This window comes from Homo sapiens, chromosome 2 (assembly GCF_000001405.40).
Source record: "Homo sapiens chromosome 2, GRCh38.p14 Primary Assembly".
Lineage (NCBI taxonomy): Eukaryota > Metazoa > Chordata > Mammalia > Primates > Hominidae > Homo > Homo sapiens.
The window spans coordinates 28769366-28791992 of record NC_000002.12 but is presented as its reverse complement, the minus strand read 5'-3'; the positions used below and the strand labels follow the sequence as shown (position 1 = coordinate 28791992).

The 22627-nt window shown below is 38.9% G+C and overlaps 1 protein-coding gene across 2 annotated transcripts in view; it reads right to left on the bottom strand.

Annotated features, from left to right (window-relative positions):
- PPP1CB (protein phosphatase 1 catalytic subunit beta) overlaps nucleotides 1-22627 on the bottom strand; it is a 51337-nt gene that overhangs the window by 10948 nt on the left and 17762 nt on the right. For both annotated transcript variants that reach the window (NM_206876.2, NM_002709.3), the window contains 5 exons: nucleotides 15011-15142; nucleotides 12954-13184; nucleotides 10151-10255; nucleotides 8015-8086; nucleotides 3184-3335 (listed from right to left, as the gene is read on the bottom strand). In NM_206876.2, the coding sequence (NP_996759.1) occupies nucleotides 3184-3335; nucleotides 8015-8086; nucleotides 10151-10255; nucleotides 12954-13184; nucleotides 15011-15142 (692 nt within the window). The remainder of the gene's footprint in view (nucleotides 1-3183; nucleotides 3336-8014; nucleotides 8087-10150; nucleotides 10256-12953; nucleotides 13185-15010; nucleotides 15143-22627) is intronic.

Genomic DNA, 22627 nt, shown 5'->3' with positions numbered 1-22627 from the left:
ACTCCATGTTTTTAGTTCTTGGTTTTTTAGTTTGCTTACTTGTTCATTCTTTCAAATTTTCTTTTTTAAAGGGAATATTTCTAGAATTTTAGAGACAATTATTTGAAAATAAGCACAATAGAAGGATTTTGGCAGTTTCTGGAAAACAAAAGACCATGCAAACTAGCGTAGTTCAGAAACCTGATTTTTAAAAATCATCATTTATTTTTGAAAAGACCAGTGAATGAAGATCTATGGCTGAAAAAAACTGATTATCAGGGGTCATTTTAGTTAGGAAACTTAGCAATTCTGCCTTGTTATTTAATAGAAGGCATATTTATCAAAATCATAAACACAGTTTTACTGATTTAAAAAACTATTTGTCAGGCCGGGCGAGGTGGCTCGTGCCTATAATCCCAGCACTTTGGGAGGCCGAGGCGGGCAGATCACGAGGTCAGGAGTTCGAGACCAGCCAGGCCAACATAGTGAAACCCCGTCTCTACTAAAAATACAAAAACTAGCCAGGCTAGTGGCATACACCTGTAGTCCCAGCTACTCGGGAGGCTAAGGCAGGAGAATCACTTGAACCCGGGAGGTGGAGGTTGCAGCGAGCCGAGATGGTGCCACTGCACACCAGCCCGGGAAACAGTGTGAGACTCTGTCTCACAAAAAAAACAAACAACAACAACAAAAAACTACTTTGCCAAAATCAAAGGATGTGGGAACATGACCTCATTTCAATGGAACCACCAAGAAATCCTGCTAAATAAAAGTGGCATGTAATATACAATAAGCAAAGAATAAAAAGCCAGTCATTTTTATCACTTAGGATCAAAGAAAGAGGCAGCAGTAGTAAGTGTCATGGGGAGTAAAGCTCCAGAAAGAAAGGGAAGTACTGTGGGACAGCATATACTTAATTAAATACGCTTTTATTAATTTATTCAACACTGTATGTGCATGATACACTATGCTACAATGTCAGCAACTATATAAAGCAACAGAGATTCAAAAACAAGTTGTAATCCCTTCCTTAGAGTACACAATCTAGTTAGTGGTGGCGGACATAAAAGACAACCAAAAACCCTGAACTGTATAAATGTTTTTATAATGAAAAATTTCAAATATACACAAAAGTAGATAAAGACGACTTGAATTAACTCCCATTAACTCATCAGCCTAATTCAATACTTTTCATGATTTTGCTACATTTGTTTATCTTCTCCCTCTCCTTTTCTCTTTGCTGATATTATTTTAAAGCAAATCCCAGGCATGTCATTTTACCTCTACACACTCAAGTATGCATTCCTGGAAAAACACAGACATTCTTCTTACATAACAATTAATGATTATGAAACAGCTAAAATAATTGATACCGGCCAGGAGCAGTGGCTCACACCTGTAATCCCAGCACTTTGGGAGGCTGAGGTGGGCAGATCACCTGGGGTCAGGAGTTTGAGATCAGCCTGGCCAGTATAGTGAAACCCCGTCTCTACTAAAAATACAAAAATTAGCCAGGCGTGGTGGCAGGCGCCTGTAGTCCCAGCTACTCGGGAGGCTGAGGCAGGAGAATCACTTGAACCTGGGAGGCGGAAGTTGCAGTGAGCCGAGATCATGCCACTGCACTCCAGCCTAGGTGACAGAGTGAGACTCGGCCTCAAACAAAAACAAAAAATTAAAAGATTAAATAATTCATACCTATTACCAAGTCTACAATCAAATGTTCTCTTTTTTTGAGACTGAGTTTCACACCCATTGCACAGGCAGGAGTGAAATGGTACGATCTACACTCACTGCAACCTCTGCCTCCTGAGCTCAAGCGACTTTCCTGCCACAGCCTCCCAAGCAAGCTGGGACTACAGGTGCACACCACCACATCTGGCTGTTTTGTATCTTCTGTGGAGACAGAGTTTTGTCATGTTGCCCAGCCTGGTCTCCAGCTCCTGGGGCTCAAAGGATCTGCCTGCCTCAGCCTCCCAAAGTGCTGGAATTACAGACATGAGCCACTGCACTGAGCCACAATCAAATTCTTCAATGGTCTCAAAAATACTTTTTTAAAGTGTGGTTTGCTCTTATCAAAATCGCCATTATGCACAAAGATTATATAAAAATGAGGCTGGGCACAGTGGTTCACGCTCACGCCTGTCATCTCAGCACTTTGGGAGGCTGAGGCGCAGATCACTTGAGCTCAGGAGTTCAAGGGCAGCCTGGCCAACATGGTGAAACCCTGTCTCTACTAAAAATACAAAAATGAGCCAGGCGTGGTGGTGCGTGCCTGTAATCCCAGCTGCTCCGGAGGCTGAGGCAGAAGAATCGCTTGAGCCTGGGAGGCGGAGGTTACAGTGAGCAGAGATTGTGCCACTGCACTCCAGCCTGGGTGACAGAGTGAGACTCCATCTCAAAAAAAAAAAAAAAAAAAAAAATCTAAATCATATCTACAAAGCTTCAAAGAAGCACTGAAAATTTTGTTAGGTTTGCTGTATACTACAAAAATACATTCTTTTTTTTGAGACTGGGTCTAGCTCTTTCACAAGGGCTGGAGAGCAGTGACATAAACATGGCTCACTGCAGCCTTGATCTCCTAGGCTCAAGCGATCCTCCCACCTCAGCCTCCCACGTAGCTGGGACCACAGGCACGCACCACCACACCCAGCTAAATTTTTGATTTTTTTTGTAGAGATGGAATCTCATTTTGTTGCCCAGGCTGGTCTCAAACTCCTGTACTTAAGCAATCCACCCATCTCAGCTTGCCAAAGTGCTGGGATTATAGATGTGAGCCACCATGCCCAGCCCCAAAATATTTCTAAACATTTCCTCTTTTAGGGTGATAAAAGGTTAACAAATCACTAGATTGTTAAGTGTGAGATCCAGGAACTGGCTCTGCCACCTCTCCTACTGCTTTCCTTGTACAACTCATTTAGCTTTCTTGGATATGTTTCCTCAAAACAAAATGAGAGGGCTTATGTGAAGTTAACAAATAATAAATGTTTAAGAGTCCAGGTGTGGTGGCACACGGCTATCGTCCCAGCTACTTGGGAGGCTGAGGCACAAGAACTGCCTGAACCCGGGAGGCACAGGTTGCAGTGAGCAGAGATTGCGCCATTGCACTCCAGCCTGGGTGACAGAACAAGAATCTGTCTGCCCCTCCGTCTGCCCCCAAAAAAAAGAAAGAAAAAAGAAAAAGCTTAAGAGTTTTATATTTCATACCTGATGAGCTCGACAAATCAAATCTAAATCATGACGATTCAGAAATTTACTGACTACATCAGCTCCAAAAGTAAAGGAAACACCACGATCATTTTCTCCCCAGCCTTGCACATCCTTATCTGGATCAGACCATAGCAAATCACAGAGCAAACCTTTAAAGGACAGAAATACAGCAATTAAGAACAAAATTTACAGATTTATAGAATATAGCACATCTACATCAAATTTCAGTTCCTTTCTTGCCCTCTTACCTTTTACTAAACAATGACCATCACTTGCCTAAGTATTCCAGCCTATGTAACTTATACTTTTGTTAAAGCAACCATACAAACCATACAAATATAATCTTCCATGGCCTCTTAAGGTAGTACTTTCCAACCCTTTCCACATATAGGAAATATGTGCATGGCACTTACAGCACAACAATACATGGAAAAGGCTGTTCATCTTTTGGGTAGTTTCTCCATATGAATAACCAAACAACCCAGTGGTATTTCCTCAACAGTTCATCCTTTCCTTACGGTTCCACTGTTTCTGAGCACCACAGTCTATTCTGTTAGTCTATTTTACTTATCCCTGAGCCAATAACAGACTAGAGCTTTTTAATAAGTCTTTATATTTGGTAGGGCTAGTATCCTCCATTTTTTTTTCAGGATTGTCTTGGTTACTTTTTGATCTTTTGTTCTTCCACATAAACATTAAAAACAATTGCCTAATTCCATAAAAAACTCAATTGTGATTTCACTGGAATTGTATTTGATCTACAGATCACTTGAGCGAAAAAAAAACATTTTCTACTGAGACCCTGAGGATTTTTTTTTAAATGTGGAAGAACAAAATCAGATCAGATCCTTGACTTTGGTAATGTTTGGAGCCCTGGAAAAGAGGTCAGGGTTAAAAATATTTACTTGAGTATTGTCATCATATTAATGGTAGTGGAAATCTTAAGAGGGACTCAGACCACCTTAGGAATACAAAGTGAGAAGACCAGCAAATGAATTCTGAGGAATTCAAACATTTAATAGGCAGGTAGATGAGGGAGAATGAACATTAGGTATTGAGAAGGAATGATCAAGACAAAGGGCTTAGTATAGTAAACGTATCCCGAAAGGGGAAACAATCGTCCTAAAGTAGGAAATGTGCCATGAACAAGGGCAGTAGGACGAAGACCAAAAATGTGCCACTTACAATTAAATCATCAGACCTCAATGCAAGTTTCTTGGTGATTGAGGGTAACGGAGTGGGTAAAAGTCCAACTGTAGTGATATTAAAAGAAGGGTGGATGTTGAGATGGTGATGGTGATTTTCTAAGAATTGCAGTGGCTAAGAGAAGATACATATATATTTTTTTGAGACGGAGTCTCGCTCTGTTGCCCAGGCTGGGATGCAGTGGTGCAATCTCTGCTCACTGCAAACTCTGCCTCCCGGGTTCACGCCATTCTCCTGCCTCAGCCTCCCGAGTAGCTGGGACTACAGGTGCCCGCTACCACGCCCGGCTAATTTTTTGTATTTTTAGTAGAGATGGGGTTTCACTGTGTTAGCCAGGATGGTCTCGATCTCCTAACCTCGTGATCCGCCCGCTTCGGCCTCCCAGAGTGCTGGGATTACAAGTGTGAGCCACCGCGCCCAGCCAAGAAGATAATTTTTAAAGAGTTAAGTCAGTTTTAAGAATTTTAAATAATCCATAAACATCATAGTATGGTTTAGGAGGAAAGGGCATCTTCATTTTCAGTTACAGTACATCATATCTTGATAGAGGCATTATAAAACCATTTGTAGAATTAGTGGCAATGTATTCAATCTCTATCATTGATATATCCCAAGCTCCCTGTATGTTGTTTTAAGAAATTCACTAGCACACAAAATCCACTGGAATAGTCAGTCTCAATTCTTAAGCCCTTTCTGGTTGAAGCTGACTCTTCGAAAATATACACCCACCCAGTGCTTAATAATGCTTTCATACTTTCCAGCCTCTTTCCAGTAGAAAGCTAAGGTATTAAGAATCTATAATTTCTTTTTTTTTTTTTTTTTTTTTGAGACGGAGTCTCGCTCTGTTACCCAGGCTGGAGTGCAGTGGCACGATCTCGGCTCACTGCAAGCTCCACCTCCCGGGTTCATGCCATTCTCCTGCCTCAGCCTCCCGAGTAGCTGGGACTACAGGCGCCCACTGCCACACCCAGCGAATTTTTAGTAGAGATGGGGTTTCACCGTGTTAGCCAGGATGGTCTCGATCTCAAGAATCTATAATTTCAGTGAGACAATAAAACTGTATAAAATTAGAATAGAGTTTGAGGTTTAGGAAACATGACACTCTGGATGCATTAAAAAAATCAAATAATGGTAGCAACAACAATCTGGAATTCTTTAACCTTAACAGGGTCTAGATAAGAATTTCAGGCCAGGTATGGTGGCTCACGCCTGTAATCCCAGCACTTTGGGAGGCCGAGGTGGGCGGATCACCAGAGGTCAGGAGTTCAAGACCAGCCTGGCCAACATGGTGAAACCCTGTCTCTATTAAACATACAAAAATTAGCTGGGCACAGTGGCAGGAACCTGTTATTCTAGCTACTTGGGAGGCTGAAGCAAGAGAACTGCTTGAACCTGGGAGGTGGAGGTTGCAGTGAGCCGAGATCAGGCCATTGCACTCCAGCCTGGGCGACAAGAGTGAAATTCTGTCTCAAAAAGAATTTCAGAGTCAAGATTTATTGTTTAATGAGCTAGCATCACAATCAACTAGGCTGCTTCAAATAATGTATTAACTTATAAATTAAATTTCTGAATGTTGCAGACACTATCAAAGATCAAAATAACTGTTTTCAGCATCTTGAAAACTTCTCATTAAAATACGCTAAAATAAATAAAACATGCTAAAAACAGAAGCCTAGCATATCACACTAGATCAGTTTACATCTGAACTATAAACAGATATTCTGAAGAATGACCAGTAATACATATTTATATTATACCTTATTTTAAAAATAGCACTTTGGGTGTTTTTTGAAAGAGAGGGTCTCACTGTGTCACCCAGGCTAGAATGCAGGAGCACAATCACAGGTCACCGCAGCCTCAACTTCCCAGGCTGAAGTGATCCTCCTGCCTCAGCCTCCTGAGTAGCCGCGGTGCTGCGACATGTGGCTAATTAAAAAAAAAAATTTTTTTTTTCTCTGTAGAGATGGGTGTTATGTTGCCCAGGCTGGTCTCGACTCCTCACCTCAAGTGATCTTCCTGCCTTGGCCTCCCAAACTGTTGGAATTACAAGCATGAACTAGTGCACCAGGCCTAAAAACAGCATTTTAAATAAAATACTATTTAAATACCAGTTTGTTAGGTTTAGTCAAATGTATTCTATAATTACAATCAAAAACTGTGATAAAATGCATACTTTAAAAAATAATCAACACAACAAGTCGTGTTATGTAAAAAAGCTCATAACACAGGCCAGGTGTGGTGGCTCACGCCTGTAATCCCAGCACTTTGGGAGGCCAAGGTGGGTGGATCACAAGATCAAGAGATCGAGACCATCCTGGCCAACATGGTGAAACCCCATCTCTACTAAAAATACAAAAAATTGGCCGGGTGTGGTGGCGGGCGCCTGTAGTCCCAGCTACTCGGGAGGCTGAGGCAGAAGAATCACTTGAACCCGGGATGCAGAGCTTGCAGTGAGCCGAGGTTGCACCACTGCCCCCCAGCCTGGTGACAGGGCAAGACTCTGTCTCAAAAAAAAAAAAAAAAAAAAAAAAAAAAGCTCCTAACACAATTTATTACAACATACAGTGTATTACATGGCTACTGACATCAGAGGATCTATACCATTTATAATGGTTGATGTGTAGTTCTGAGCAGCATTTTTTGTGGTGATTGTTGTTTCTTTTTTCTTTTTTTTTTTTTTTTTGAGACAGTTTCACTCTGTCACCCAGGCTGGAGTGCAGTGGTGTGATCTCGGCTCACTGCAACCTCTGTCTCCCAGGTTCAAGCAATTCTCGTGCCTCAGCCTCTTGAGTAGCTAGGATTACAGGAACGCACCACCATGCCCAGCTAATTTTTGTTATTTTTAGTAGAGATGGGGTTTCATCACGTTGGCCAGGCTGGTCTGGAACTCCCGACCTCAAGTGATCCTGCCCACCTCAGCCTCCCAAAGCGCTGGGACTACAGGCGTGAGTGCCACTGCTCCCAGCCTTCCCAGAGATTTCCAATGTAATTTTCACAAAACTGACCACAGGTCTCTAGAGCCTTAAGAGCTCTAAAAATTTAAGCCAGGTATGGCACATGCCTGGAGTCCCCTAGCTACTCAGAAGAGGCAGGAGGATTGCTTGAGCCTAGGAATTCAAGGCCAGCCTGGGCAACAGATTGAAATCCCTCCCACACCCCCTTGAAAAAAAGCTCTAAAAATTTCAAATAGAGGACATAGAAAATAACAAAAAACTACTAGACATTTGAAAAGAAGGTAGTTGTATCCTTGCCTAAGAAGCAAAGAATAGATTATTTTAATTAAAAAACTTTTGTCTAATTTAACAAATTTTTGAAGAACATAACCAATGCTAGTATGAATGAGGGAATTTAGAAAAATAGGTATAAGGACTCAACAGCAAAATCTTTTTTGTGATCAAATAACTACATTATGACTATAAATAAAAAGGTTCCGCATTTTGAGGATCAGTGCAAAGTGAAAAATTGTGTATTACTGCAAATAAAGTAATCTGTAGCTGGCTTATTGACTATGAAAAAAGCTCTTTTATTTATTACATAAGCCAATCCTACTTCCACTAAATGTAATCAAGTTCAAATATGAAAACACTTTACACAAAACAATTAAACTTCTCTCTACACTTACCTGTATCAGGGACATCAGTAGGTCTCATAATTCTCCGAATCTGCTCCATAGATTGCAGGTCTGGTGACAATCCTATAAATAAAAAGATGAGACATAGTACTAACAGCTAAAAATTTTAATATTTTAACAGTCACCGAATAAAAAGCATTTAATCAAAATAGATTCACTATGTGAAATTAAAGATACTGAAAAGTGTTCCTTTTAACGTCTTTTTTTTTTTTCGAGACAGAATCTTACTCTGTCACCCAGGCTGCAGTGCAGTAGCGTGATCTCAGCTCACTGCAACCTCCACCTCCCGGGTTCGAGCGATTCTCCTGCCTCAGTCTCCCGAGTAGCTGGGACTACAGACGCGCGCCACCACATCCAGCTAATTTTTTGTATTTTTAGTAGAGACGGGGTTTCACCATGTTGGCCAGGCTGGTCTCGATCTCTTGACCTCATGATCCAACCACCTTGGCCTCCCAAAGTGCTGAGATTACAGGCGTGGGCCACCGCGCCCTGCCCCTTTTAATGTCTTAAAGGGCAACACAGAGTTATTAGGAATTCCACTTTGATATAATACAGCATTATAATTGTTTTTTTCCATTTTTCCCTACCAGGGAAATGAAATTCCTTTATATTTCAAAAGACTTCCCAAGGAAAAAAAAAACTACCATTCTTTTTTCCAATCATTCCCTGGCCTTCATAGAAACATAATCAACTGCAACCCTTCCTACCACTTTTGCCAGTTCTTACCACTAATCTTAAACATTTTAACTTCTAAGTGAAAGTGCCTCACTTGGTTCCCTAAGACCTTCTTTTCACATCCCACTCCAACATGTTCATTATCTTCATGAAGTCATAAACTATTGATCAGAAGGATTAACAGGAAAAGCTCATAAAAATACTCTGCAATCTTTGAAGTGGTATATAAGCTATTATTTCTCTCTGATAGGCAATCCAAGTATCATCACAAGGAATGAAGCTAAACATTCGTATCCATACTGCTACACTTCTATCCTTAGCTACACTAATGTACAAGAACTACAATTCATTACGTGTTTAATGTCTACTGGAAAACATATTTCAATTAATATAGTGAATTATGTTCTGCCAGAGAATAAACCATTTATTACCTCGGGCCTAGGCAAGTGCATCTATCTTTTCAGCGTTTTTCCACTTTAATTCTTCCCGTATATTGATGAAAAACTAATTTTCTTACACTATTTCCATTAAATTACTTCCCTGTACAAAAACCCAATACGGTTATTAAATCACTCAACAAACTCCGTTGCTCAATAGTCAAATCTCCATAATCTGATTCCATCATTTCCCAGCATGTACTTGACCTTCTAGTCAGGCCAGTTCTTACACATTCCCTAAACTAGACAACAAAGAGTGTCTCAAGTCCTTTTAACTTCTCCAAAGCCTATTTATCCTCTAAAACCCATGCCTCCATACACACATGTACCCAGTCTTTCCTCCTCCTGACTTCTCATAGTGTCTTAATAAGTTCTGACATATTAAATACCTTTTATTACTCAATTATCTGTTTCATAAATGTATCTTAGCAACAGGTTTTTAACTCTTCAAGATGGTCAGATCATACACTATCTACTAGCTAGGTGTTAGACATATACATTAATTTTTCAAATAAACTTTCAAAAAACTTCAAGCTTATTTCATAAGCCATACAGAGTAACCTACCAATCTGCCAAAGATTATTTTATTATTTTATTGTTAATACTAAAGCAAATATATTATATGAAGCCTAGAATTCTTGATATATGTGAATATGAAACTCAATTTTATTTGGATTCTGATGAAAGATTTCAATATAGGCAGGAAGATATCCTCTCATTTTTACTAATAAATAGCAGGGGTGTCTTTCTGTTAAAACTTGAGGCAAAGGAGACTTTCTCAAACAACTCTAGTTACACTCCTTATATGTGAAACTGTATTTAAAGAAGCATTACGTTTTCATTTATAAATAAATTTCTAATTTTTAAAAGAGGTTTAGCCATGTTTAAAACAGTTTTAATCACTTGAGTTTTCATACAAGCACTGCTTTGTTTTCCCACAGCCTCTTGATTATTATAGGTATTTTCCGAATAATAGAAGAAAAAAAAAATCTGTAAGGCAAATTTACTAGTCTACCTCCATGACAACAGAAGATCTTCTCATCCACAATGGCTGCTATAGGCAGACAGTTAAAACAATCAGTGAAGGTCTTCCACAATTTAATATTAAATCTTCGTTTGCCTGTAAAAAGAACAGATAGAATAAATTAAAAAATCTAAAACTGTTCTCATCAGTTATCTCAAAGCCGCAGGATTATGAATGATTTCAATTTTCTTCATTTCTTCATGTTTATCTATAAAGAAGAACTTTTTCTACAATGCAAAGATGTTATTTACGTACTTTCAAAAAGGCAACAACTACAATAAACATTCAATACCTTCAGTAAAGTTACCAAGACTTCAAAGATTGTGCTGGGGGTAGGGGTGGGATGGGAAGATGTTGGTCAAAGAATACAAAGTATCAGTTGGGTAGTAGGAATAAATACAGAAGATCGATTGTATAACAGTGACTACAGTTAACACTATATTGTATCTTTGTAAAATGCTAAGAGTAAATTTTAAGTGTTGTTTTCTCCCAAAATGCTAACTTTTTGAGGTAATGCATATGTTAAATCAGCGGGATTTAACCATTCTGCAATGTATATATACTTCAAAACATCATGTTGTACATCATAAATACATAGAATTTCTGACAAATAAAATAAACCTAATCAAATTTAACACTTAAAAAATCCCAAAGATTGTGCTAGGTGTTTTATGAAATACATCAAACAATTTTTGTCTTTTAAGATCAGTATAATATAGCAATTTTTAAACAGTCTAATAGGCTCTTAGTTCATTTTTTTCCGTTCAGTGTGTGGACTAGTTAAATACCTAGCCAAATAAGCAAGCAGAAGTGAAAAGGTGCCTCTGGAAACTGTCCATTTTAACACTAATGCATTGATTAACACAGTATAAACTTATTGCCAAGGAAGGAAAATTTCCAAGTGTTTAACTAGTATTCTTTTGTGTGAATTACAACTTGGCACTATAGCAAGTATAAATAGAGGCACAAAGGCTATAATTTTCCTGTAGCCTAGCATAAAAAGCTACGACAAAGACAACCTCAAGTGTATGTTCACCTTTTTAGAGTTACTCGATTTTCCTGAATTTGGTAATAAGGTACAACTACTAAGCTAGGGAAGGGATGAAAGACACAAGTACTAACTTCCTGTGCTTTTATGCCACAACCTGCCCCTTAATGAGTAAGTACATAACTCAAAGCACTGTTTACAAGTTGCTCTCCCATACATTATTTCATTTGATGTCATTTCTATCCCCAAAGACATTCTTGCCTATCTTTTATCCTTTAAAAATATACCTCCATTTCTGATGTAGCTTTAGGAAGAATGTTGTAGTTTGATGTACTCCAACCCACTTTCTCTCTGCTAGTCTGATTTAAATAATTCAAACCACACACTACATCTCAGAAATAAAAATACAATACAAAATCAAATACAGAATCATTTCTATTAGAATGTAAGCTCATGGCTGGGCGCCGTGGCTCACACCTGTAATCCCAGCACTCTGGGAGGCCGAGGCGGGTGGATCACCTGAGGTTGGGAGTTCAAGACCAGCCTGATCAACACAGAGAAACCCCATCTCTACTACTAAATATACAAAATTAGCCAGGGAACGTGGTACATGCCTGTAATCCCAGCTAATCGGGAGGCTGAGGCAGGAGAATCGCTTGAACCCGGGAGGCGGAGGTTGCAGTGAGCTGAGATCGTGCCATTGCACTCCAGCCTGGGCAAGAAGAGCGAGACTCCGTCTCAAAAAAAAAAAAAAAAAAAAAGAAAGAAAAGAAAAGAAAAAAGAAAAAAGAAAGGCTATTTTCATTAAGCATTGGAAGCCTGATACAGCCTTTTTTCACTACAAGGACATACAGTCCCAGCTAGGCTGATGACCTGCTATTTGGCTGGACAGGGAAGGCCAATCAATGCTGGAGAAACACTTGGGAAAAAAAATGTAAGCTCCATGAGAACAGAGATCATCTGTATTGTGTATTGCTTCACGCACTGTGTTCACAATAGTGCCTGCACATATAACATACCCTCAAACTTTGTCAAATCATTATATAAATCAAGGAGATATGAGTTTGAATAGGTCTCTAACATAATTAAGGATTGAAAAAAAGCAAAAGTAGATTCTAATAGGGAAGACAGCAATAAAAAATTCAATTTGAAGATTATAATTGATTCTAAGTAGTAATTAACCAAATAAATACTTACTCCCGTATTCTAATAAAACCAAAAGACCATATTTGAACCTAGTAGGGTATTTTAATAATAACACTTGGAAACATACAATACCAAATCGTTGATTTCCTACTAATGAAAAAGAGAGTAAAATAAGGATACCCCAGAGTATTCAGTATCTTTATCTTTCAAGGTTTACAGACATAGATTTAAATTCTAATAATATTAAACTTTGACTTTTAAATAGTTTCACAGAACTTCTCAATAATTCTTGTGACACAGGACTAATAAAAGCTGTCATACCACAAGAATGCCGAGAGTTAAAACCTTAATGGACACTAGAAAACCAAGGGCCACTGCCTACAGTGACTTCTGTTTCACCTGGATAGTTTACTAGATAAACTAATTTTAAAAGAGCCTCTTCAGCCAAGTAAGCTGCAGTCAATCTGAAATATGACCAAGGAGATCTCAAGGAACCAATTTAATTAGTAACATGTTTCCCAGTTTCAGGTTCCTCTTCCTGGCCTATGCCTGACAGATCTTATTTTGAAAAAACTCTGAATCAAAGCAACTCTTCTGAACCAGAAAATTATTAGGCAATGTTTCCATGAATTACTTTTCTAAGTCTTTATTTTCACTTACATTCATCATAGAATCCATAAATGCGATTGATGCTAGCACACTCATGGTTTCCTCTTAAGAGAAAGAAGTTCTCTGGATATTTGATTTTATAAGCCAATAGCAAACAAATGGTTTCCAAAGACTGCTTTCCTCTGTCCACATAATCTCCTAAGAAAAGATAGTTGGCTTCTGGTGGGAAACCTCCATATTCAAATAATCTCAGTAAATCTGTATATTGTCCATGAATATCTCCTAAAAAGAGAAAGAGTCAGTTTTAGAAAAATTGGTTACTGTTATAAGCAGCTTCTATGAAATGATTCCCAATGTTCACATCCTGTGTAATCCTCCCCTACCCTTGAGTATGGGCTATATTTGGTGACTTACTTCTAATAAGCGAAAGTGAGATGGGCTGTCACTTCCAAGATTAAGTTACAAAAGACTGTGACTTTCATCTTGCTTGCACTCTCTCACCTTCTTCCATGCTCGCTGATGAAACCAGCTGTCTAATGAAGCATCCCACGTAGCAAAGAACTGAGGGAGGCCTCTGACCAACAGCTCATTTGGAACTGAGGCTCTTAGTCCATCAGTCTATAAGGAACTGAATCCTTTCACAGTTCAACCTTCAGATGACTGCAGCCCGAGATCACGCCTTAATTGGAGCCTTGTGAGAGACCCAGAGCCAGAGGACCCACTAAGCTGTTCCTGAATTCCTGACCCACAGAAATTGTGAGATGGTAAATTAATGTTGCTGTAAGCCACAAAGTTTTGGAATGATTTATTATACAACAATAGGTAACTAAAACAATTTTATTATCTGGTAGTTTAACTTACGTCACTTTTTAACACCAAATATGGAGACAAATAGTAAACCTTTAGAAATATGTAGTACAAATAACTTCCATTACCTTCAAGTTATTTCTATATTACATTTTAAAGAACACCTTCAAAGAATACTTTAATTCTAATAATTTTAAGATCACCTCTAAGTAACTACATTTGCTTAAGTTTATACAGGGGATTGATTAGTTCCCCCAAATTCTGAACTACTACCTCTTACTTGAAGGTGTGATATTCTAAGTTAACTGATCCATTCAACAAACATTTATTGGCCAGCTGCGGTGGCTCATGCCTATAATCCCAGCATTTTGGGAGGCCAAGACAGGTGGATCACCTGAGGTCAGGAATTCAGAACCAGCCTGGCCAACATGGAGAAACCCTGTCTCTACTAAAAATACAAAAAGTCAGCTAGACGTGGTGGCTCACACCTGTAATCCCAGCTACTCAGGAGTCTGAGGCAGGAGAACCACTTGAGCCCGGGAGGTGGAGGTTGCAGTGAGCCAAGATTGTGCCATTGTACTCCAGCCTGGGCAACAAGAGTGAAACTCTGTCTCAAAGAAAAACCAACCAAACAAACAAAAAACAAACATTTACTTAGCGAGTATCTCTTATTTGCTGGGCACTGTACAAAGGACTGTAAAAAAGTCACTGTAAAACTTAAAAGAATACAAGGTATAAAGTAGTATAATCTTCAAAACAAATTTAAATAACATCAAAGTTAGAAGACCACAGATATCGCCATATTGACCCTCTAAATTATACACCTATTTTTTTCTAACCAGTGTACTATGATGCCCTTTTCGTGACATCCTTGACAACACTAAACATCAATCTTTGGTATTTTTTTATAATCTGACTAGAGTTGGAGACTTGCTTTAAATTGCACATCACTGATTACTAAAAAAAGAAGCTGACGTCCTTATGTTTACTGGCCATTTGAATTTCTTCTAAGACCTTCCTCTTCCTATGTTATTTTTATACTGTATCGCCTTTCTCTTATTTATAAGAACTCTTTATATATTATAAATAGAACTCCTTTTATCTGTTGATATATAGCAAGTATTTTCATCTTGTCTGTAACTTGTCATTTTTATAAGTTTCAATTTTTATACACTTTTATTTAGTAAAGCCTACTGATCTGTTTTATACAAAAATTTCAAAAAATGTTTTCTCTAGATCTTAAACATGGGAGGAAAAACATGATTCAAAAGAGTTGTTTCCAACTTTACCCATTTACATACCACAAATTTTCAGCGGTGCTTCCAATTCCAAAAGAATAGGCTGGCTGAGAAAGATCTCCCGAGACTTGATACATAAGCCTCGAACTTCTGCTTCAGTCATCTGCACAATCTTTCCTGGACGACATCCTCGTACTGACAAACGATAAATAAAACAGTCAGTTTTCTAAAATTTACTCATAATAATCTTTCAAAAAGAGTCATGCCCATACTTTAAAAATCAGAAAAGTCACACAGGCAGCAAATTACCCTATTTGGTCCCATGGTTTAAAATAATGTTATTCTATGATCTCTGACTTCTATTTTCATTGTTACTGGTTCCTGATGATGCTCCTCAAGTCTGCTGTTGATGAAATGCAGTCCTGTTTTTTGCTGTCCTGTGACCAACCTGGGGCCTAGTAGCCAAAGAGACTTAAAAGATTTCAGGGCCGGGCACGGTGGCTCATGCCTGTAATCCCAGCACCTTGGGAGGTTGAGGTGGGTGGATCACCTGAGGTCGGGAGTTCAAAACCAGCTTGATCAACATGGAGAAACCCCATCTCTCCAAAAATACAAAATTAGCCAGGTGTGGTGGCGCATGCCTGTAATCCCAGCTAATTGGGAGGCTGAGTTAGGAGAATCGCTTGAACCCGGGGGCAGAGGTTGCAGTGAGCTGAGATCGCCCCATTGCACTCCAGCCTGGGCAACAAGAGCGAGACTCCGTCTCAAATAAAAAAAAAACAAACAAACAGAAAAAAAACAACAACAAAAAAAACACACACAAAAAAACATTTCAGAGCCCGCACCCTTTAAGGTCTGGCCTGCTTATCTCGCATCTAGTAGGATGTCAAAACAGCCTCATTAAGAACAATGTGCTATGAAGAAAGGGAGATTAAATAGTAATTGTCAGTAGGTGATTTAGCTTCACACACTTTCTTGGAATGTTACCAGCAGTCCCCAAAATTTTAGCAACTCCTATCTCTACTTTCTGATCAAAAGAAATACAAAAAAGATATCAGCTATGTATTAAAAATTAACTTATCGTTACATTCCCAATAGATCATTATATTAAAACCTCTAAAGGCTATTTAGATGGAGTGAGGCATCTTTGCATTACTGAGCCATAAGATAATATGGTTTCCAGTAACTTGTGGGATGAAGGGGAACAGAATGTTGCATGGAGAGACAGAAGAGTTCCTTATTTGCCCCACTGAACTCAACTTGTAATCATTTCCTCTCATCACCATCTCCCCTGACTCCCTTTAACCTTAAATTTACAGCTGAGCTCTCATTTAATCTTAAGTGAAAGAGCATTTAAGAAAAGAAAATAGGCTGGGAGCAGTAGCTTGCCCCTGTAATCCCAGCACTTTAGGGGGTCAAAGCGGGAGGACTGCTTGAAGCCAGGAGTTCGAGACCAGCCTGGGCAGCAAAGCAAGGCCCTGTGTCAACAAAAGATGTTTTTAAAAAACAGAATTAGCCTAGCATAGTAGAGAATTGCTTGAGGCCAAGAGGTTGAGGCTGCAGTGAGCTATGATGGCACTAGGGCATTTCAGTCTTGGTGACAGAGCAAGACCCTGTCTCTGCAAAATAAAAATAAAGGCCGGGCACGGTGGCTCACACCTGTAATCCCAGCACATTGGGAGGCCAAGGTGGGTGGATCACTTGAGCTCAGGAGCGCAAGATCGCCCTGGGCAACACGATGAAACCCCATCTCTACCCAAAATACAAAAAATTAGCTGGGCATGATGGTGCATGCTTGTGGTCCCAGCTACTCAAGGCAGAGGTTGAGGTGGAACGTTCACTTGACCCCAGAAGGCAGAGGCTACAGTGAGCTGAGATCGTGCCACTGCACTCCAGCCTGGGTGAGAGTGAGACCCCATCTCCAAAGTAAAATAAAATTCCACATATTTCTTGCTAAAAATTGCTGATTCCTTTGTCAGGTCAATAAGAGGCTTTAAAAAAAAAAAGGCCTCCACATGCAAAAGCTATATATTCCATTAATATATTAATATAAAAGTAAAAAGGAGGCAATAAACAGGAGACACAGACAACATTCAAATGTGCTTTAGCAAATATGCTAGTTTATAAGACTATCCCTGAAATTCAAAACAATGATCAGCAGAACTGCTTTTATTATGGGAACTGATATAGCTTCATTAGTGCTTGTTCTCAAACATCAATTACCTACTTCTGATGCATATTTGGGTTTTTCTAACACCAAAAAGACATCTCAGCTTTAGTTTTAAATGTGGAAGATTTTAGTTTAAGAAAAAAAAAATGTGACCAGGTGCGGTGGCTCATGCCTGTAATCCCAGCACTTTGGGAGGCCGAGGTGGGTGGATCACCTGAGGTCAGGAGTTTGAGACCAGCCTAGCCAACGTGGTGAAACCCTGTCTTTACTAAAAATACAAGAATTAGCCGGGAGTGGTGGCGGGTGCCTGTAATCTCAGCTACTTGGGAGGCTGAGGCAGGAGAACTCCTTGAACCCAGGAGGTGGAGGTTGCAGTGAGCCGAGATCGCACCACAGCACTCCAGCCTGGGAGACAAGAGCGAAATTCTGTCTCAAAAAAAAAGTATTCGCCTTGGAAGAATTAAGGGTCTCAAACTGCTTTCAGATAACAAACACACAGCTAAAAGTACTTACAAACTGTATTAACTCATTCAACAAATGTTTGAGAGTCTACTGTGTATTAGTTGTTTATAGAGAACAGCAATGAACAAGAAGAACAGTACATTATCAAAACTTAGTTGTAACTTGACTACTAAGTCAAAAGACTAATGTGGGTCACTTCAATATGTCAATTTAAAATATTCAAATGACAGTGGTGAATATTTTACCTAGTATTTATTTTATTCCCTCTGTATAATTTTCACTTCTCAAGTAATTGTGTAACATTTTTACAGAACTATAAAGTGCTTCAACTTGTAAGTCAAGCAAATCCACAGAAACTAAAAATTTACCAAAAACACACTGCACAGAAACTTTTTATATTTTCACTAACTGTAGGATGCACATTTCTCCCTTAACTAATATCTCTGAAGTTGTGAGACTCTTGCAATTAAAAGCTTCTTACAATTATAATTGGCAGCCCCCCCCACCAACTTAGTGGCACATAAAAGTGCATTTAATAATCAGTCACATCTTAAGAGTTGATGAATGCAGTTAGAGAAGCTAAAGGTTTTCCCAATGTTTAAAACTCTGACAAGAGTTTTAGAAATTAGAAATAAATTAGCCAAAGGTTGGACAGAATAAGGCAGATGTCCCAGGGCAATCCCAGCTGTCTTCCAATTCAAAAGTCCTGCTCCTTTATGTACTCTCAAGACTTCTGAAAAAAAGGAAGAAATCATCCGGGCAACCTGTTACACAGGGCAACTAGACTGCTATCACAGCATCCATGAGGGATTCCAGTGTTTGGATATCTGAACGCTGCTGGATTATAAAAATATTATAAATCAGCATACTTCATTAGGTGCAAAGCACCTTCACATCAATCATTTCATTTAATCCTTTTCACACCCCAGGAACTGAAAAGAGAAGCTATTCTTTCCACTGTACAATGACAGAGATTCAATAACTCGCATAAGATCACAGTGCCCAGGTTTTATAAGACTGATAGGAGTGAGAAGCAGCAGAGAGGGATTCAGACTTAGTCTTCTAACTTAAAGGCCAGTACTTTTTCCACTTCACCACATAAAATTTTTGGATCAAAAATTTCCTAGAAATTTTCAGCATGTAGTAATTTCAGACCAGATAAAATCCCATGATAGCAAATATCTACCATACTTACTACTGTTTAGAAAATATTTTAACATATTACATACATATAGTATACTAACTTTATGGGTGTAACTCAACGAATTTTAAACTATCTATATACCTGAGTAACCATCATCCAGATCAAGGTACAGAATGCTTCCTGCAACCCTGAAGATTCCCTTGTACCCTAACTAATGACAGTAATGCCTGAGGTTACTATCCTTATTGCTATCAGTATATATTGATTTGATGTATTTGTGAATTAGACTTTTAGATAAAAAGAAACATAAGAATGCTCTTTTGCTCATTATTGCATCTGTGAGATACATCCATATAATTGTGTTTAACAGTCATTTGAAATACAGGCTGAGTATCCCTAATCTGAAATCCAAAATGCTCCAAAACCGAAACCTTTTTTAGTGCTAATATGATGCTCAAAGAAAATGCTCATTGGAGCATTTCAGATTTCAGATTATCAGATTACGGATGCTTAACTGGTAAGTATAATACAAATACTCAAAAATCTGAAAAAAATCCAAATTCCAAACACTTGGGGTCCCAAGCATTTTGGATAAAAAATATTCAACCTGTATTCCATTCTATGAACATATGACAATATCTTTACTACTCTATTTGGATTATTTCCAGTTTGGGGCTATTACAAATGCTATGAATATCCATGGGCATATTTATCTTAGGTATGTATAGAACAAAGCAGTAGAACTGCTCGGGTCAGTTTATTTCATTAAGTAGTAGATACCATCAGTTTCCCAAAGTGGCTATACCAATTCATAATCCTCCTAACACTGTTGGTCCATATCTTTACTGATACTGCAAATTATCAGTATTTTTAATTTTAGTCATTTTGTTGGGTATATGGTGGTATTCGTTGGATTTAATTTGATTTCCCCGAGGACCAAGGTTGTCAAGTACCCTTTTTTTTCTTTTTGAGATGGAGTCTCGCTCCGTCACCCAGGCTGGAGTGTAGTGGCAAGATCATGGCTCACTGCAACCTCCACCTCCCGGGTTCAAGGATTCTCCTGCCTCCTGAGCAGCTGGGATTACAGGTGCACACCACCATGCCCAGCTAATTTTTGTAGAGACAGGGTTTCACCATGTTGCTCAGGCTCATCTCGAACTCCTAACCTCAAATAATCTCCCCGCCTTGGCCTCCCAAAGTGCTGGGATTACAGGCGTGAGCCACTGCACCTGGCCATTGAGTATCTTTTTCATGTGCCTAATAGACCCTTTAGGTTATCTTTTTTTTTTTTTTTGGACAAGTTCGTTTTAAGTCTTTTGTTCATTCTTTAAAACTGGACTTTTTCCATCTCTTCATGCTATCTTTTGATGAACAGAAGTTCTTTAATGAATTTAAATCTTAAAAAATCTTAGTCAATCTTTTTTTGGTTAAGGCCTTTTGCATCTTATTCAAGAAATTCTTGCCTTCTCTAAACATATTTCCTTATGTTTCCTTCCAGATATTTTATTGTTTTAGCCCACTTCATTCTATAACCCATCTCAAATTAATTTTGTGTATGGTTTGATGTAAAGGTCAAGGTTTTTATCTAAGCAGATACCCAGTTGATTCAGCACCATTTATCATAAAGATCATCCTTTTCCCCACTGAACCGCAATGGCAGCTTTGTAGAAAAATCAGGTGACCATACAGGAACAGGTCTGTTTTTAGCCACTATATAGCTCATTACCCCATTTGTCTATTTTTGCATCAATACCACAATGTCTTAATTACTATGGCTTTTTATAAAGTCTCGGTATCTAGTAATATAAACATCCCAATTTTGTTCTTTAGATTTTCCTTTTGAACTTTCAAATGTTTTAAAATTGGCTTGTGTCTAGCCCCTCCACCCCCAAACTTGTGAGGTGTTAAATTGGGAATAAGGCCGAGTACAGTGGCTCATGCCTGTAATCCCAGCACTTTGGGAGGCCGAGGTGGGTGGATCACCTGAGGTCAGGAAGAGACCAGCCTGGCCAACATGGTGAAACTCCGCCTCTACTAAAAATACAAAAATTAGCCAGGCGTGATGGCAGGTGCCTGTAATCCCAGCTACCCAGGAGGCTGAGGCAGGAGAATCGCTTGAACCCAAGAGACAGAGGTGGCAGTGAGCCACGATCGTGCCACTGCACTGCAGCCTGGGCAACAAGAGTGAAACTCTGCCTCAAAAAAAAAAAAAAAGGGTGGGGGGGGGGGAGCAGGGAATAAGTAGGTAAGTCTAGACAGAATTGGTATCTTCACAATTTCAAGTCTTCCAATCCACAAATATGGTATCTCTCCTTTTATTTATTTCTCTCAGCAATGTTATATACTCTAGTATGGCAGTCTTTCACGTTTTTCATTAAATGGATTTTGGCTGACATCTGTGATGTCATTTCTTTCAAATGTACTGAGGGGTGCTTTATGGTATAGCATATGGTATATTTTAGTAAATGTTTCATACATATTTTGAAAAGCATATATATCCTGAAATTATTGAGTGAAGTGTTCTATGTCCGCCAAGTAGGTCAGGGTGGCTGTGTTGTTCAAATCTTTATCCTCGCTGATTTTTTCCTGTTTGTTCTACTAGTTACTGAAAGAGGGGCACTGATCTATGGTTGTGGTTTTGTCTATTTTAACTTTTTATAATAGTTGTCAACCTTTCCTTTTAGTTTTAGACCTATACTATTACATATATAAAAATTTTAGATATTTTTCCATTAAATTTATCCTTTTAGCATTATATAATGCCCTTCTTTACCTCTAGTGTTATTTCTGGTTTTAGAGCTTTTTCCAACATAAATATAGCCAAGTCAGCTTTCATTTGATTAATGTGTGCATGATATCGTCTCCCCCACACCCCCCTCCCCCCCCCCTTTTTTTTACTTCCTCATTTGTGTCCTTAGATTTAAAATACATCCCTTGTAAACAGTATCTATAATAGTTAGGTCTTCTGAGCTTTGCATTAATTTCAATGTTTGCTCCTTTTCTTTTTGAGATGGAGTCTCACTCTGTCACCCAGGCTGGAGTGCAGCGGCATGATCTCAGCTCACTGAAACCTTTGCCTCCCAGATTCAAGCGATTCTCCTGCCTCAGCCTCCTGAGTAGCTGGGATTACAGGCACCCACGCCCAGCCAATTTTTGTATTTTTAGTAGAGATAGGGTTTCACCATGTTGGCCAGGCTGGTCTTGAACTCCTGACCTCAAGTGACCTGTCCGCCTTGGCCTCCCAAAGTGCTGGGATTACAGGTGTGAGCCACGGTGCCCAGCCAATATTTGCTCCTTTTACATTTAATATAATCATCGACGAAGTTGAGTTTAAGTCTACCATTCTGTCATCTGTTCTGTTTGTCCCATCTGTTCTTCATTCCTCTCTCTTTCCCTGCATTTCTTTGGAGTAATCAGTTATTTTTTTACTATTCCATTTTCTCCTCTATTAGCTTTTCGTTATATATTCTTTTTTCATTTAGAGGTTGCTCTAGAGATTACAAATACACTTTTGACTGATTACCACCCGCCTCCAGCCTTTTGTTCTACAGTTGTCGTATTTTTGTTTCCACATATTTTAAATCCCACAAGCCACAACTATTATTTTAAACAGTCAGAATTTGTATTTACTCACATTTATCCTTACCATTGTTCATTTCTTTCTGCAGTTCTTTGCTTTTATCTGTTATTTTCTTGCAACACAAAGAACTTGCTTTAATATTCTCTAGTGTCAGCATATCAGCAATATATTTTCTGAGCTTTAGTTTGTCTTCATTTTACTTTACTATTGAAGGATATTCTAGATTTAGAATTCTAGACCAGCCTGACCAAGATGGAGAAACCCTGCCTCTACTAAAAATACAAAATTAGCCAGGCGTGGTGGCACATGCCTGTAATCCCAGCT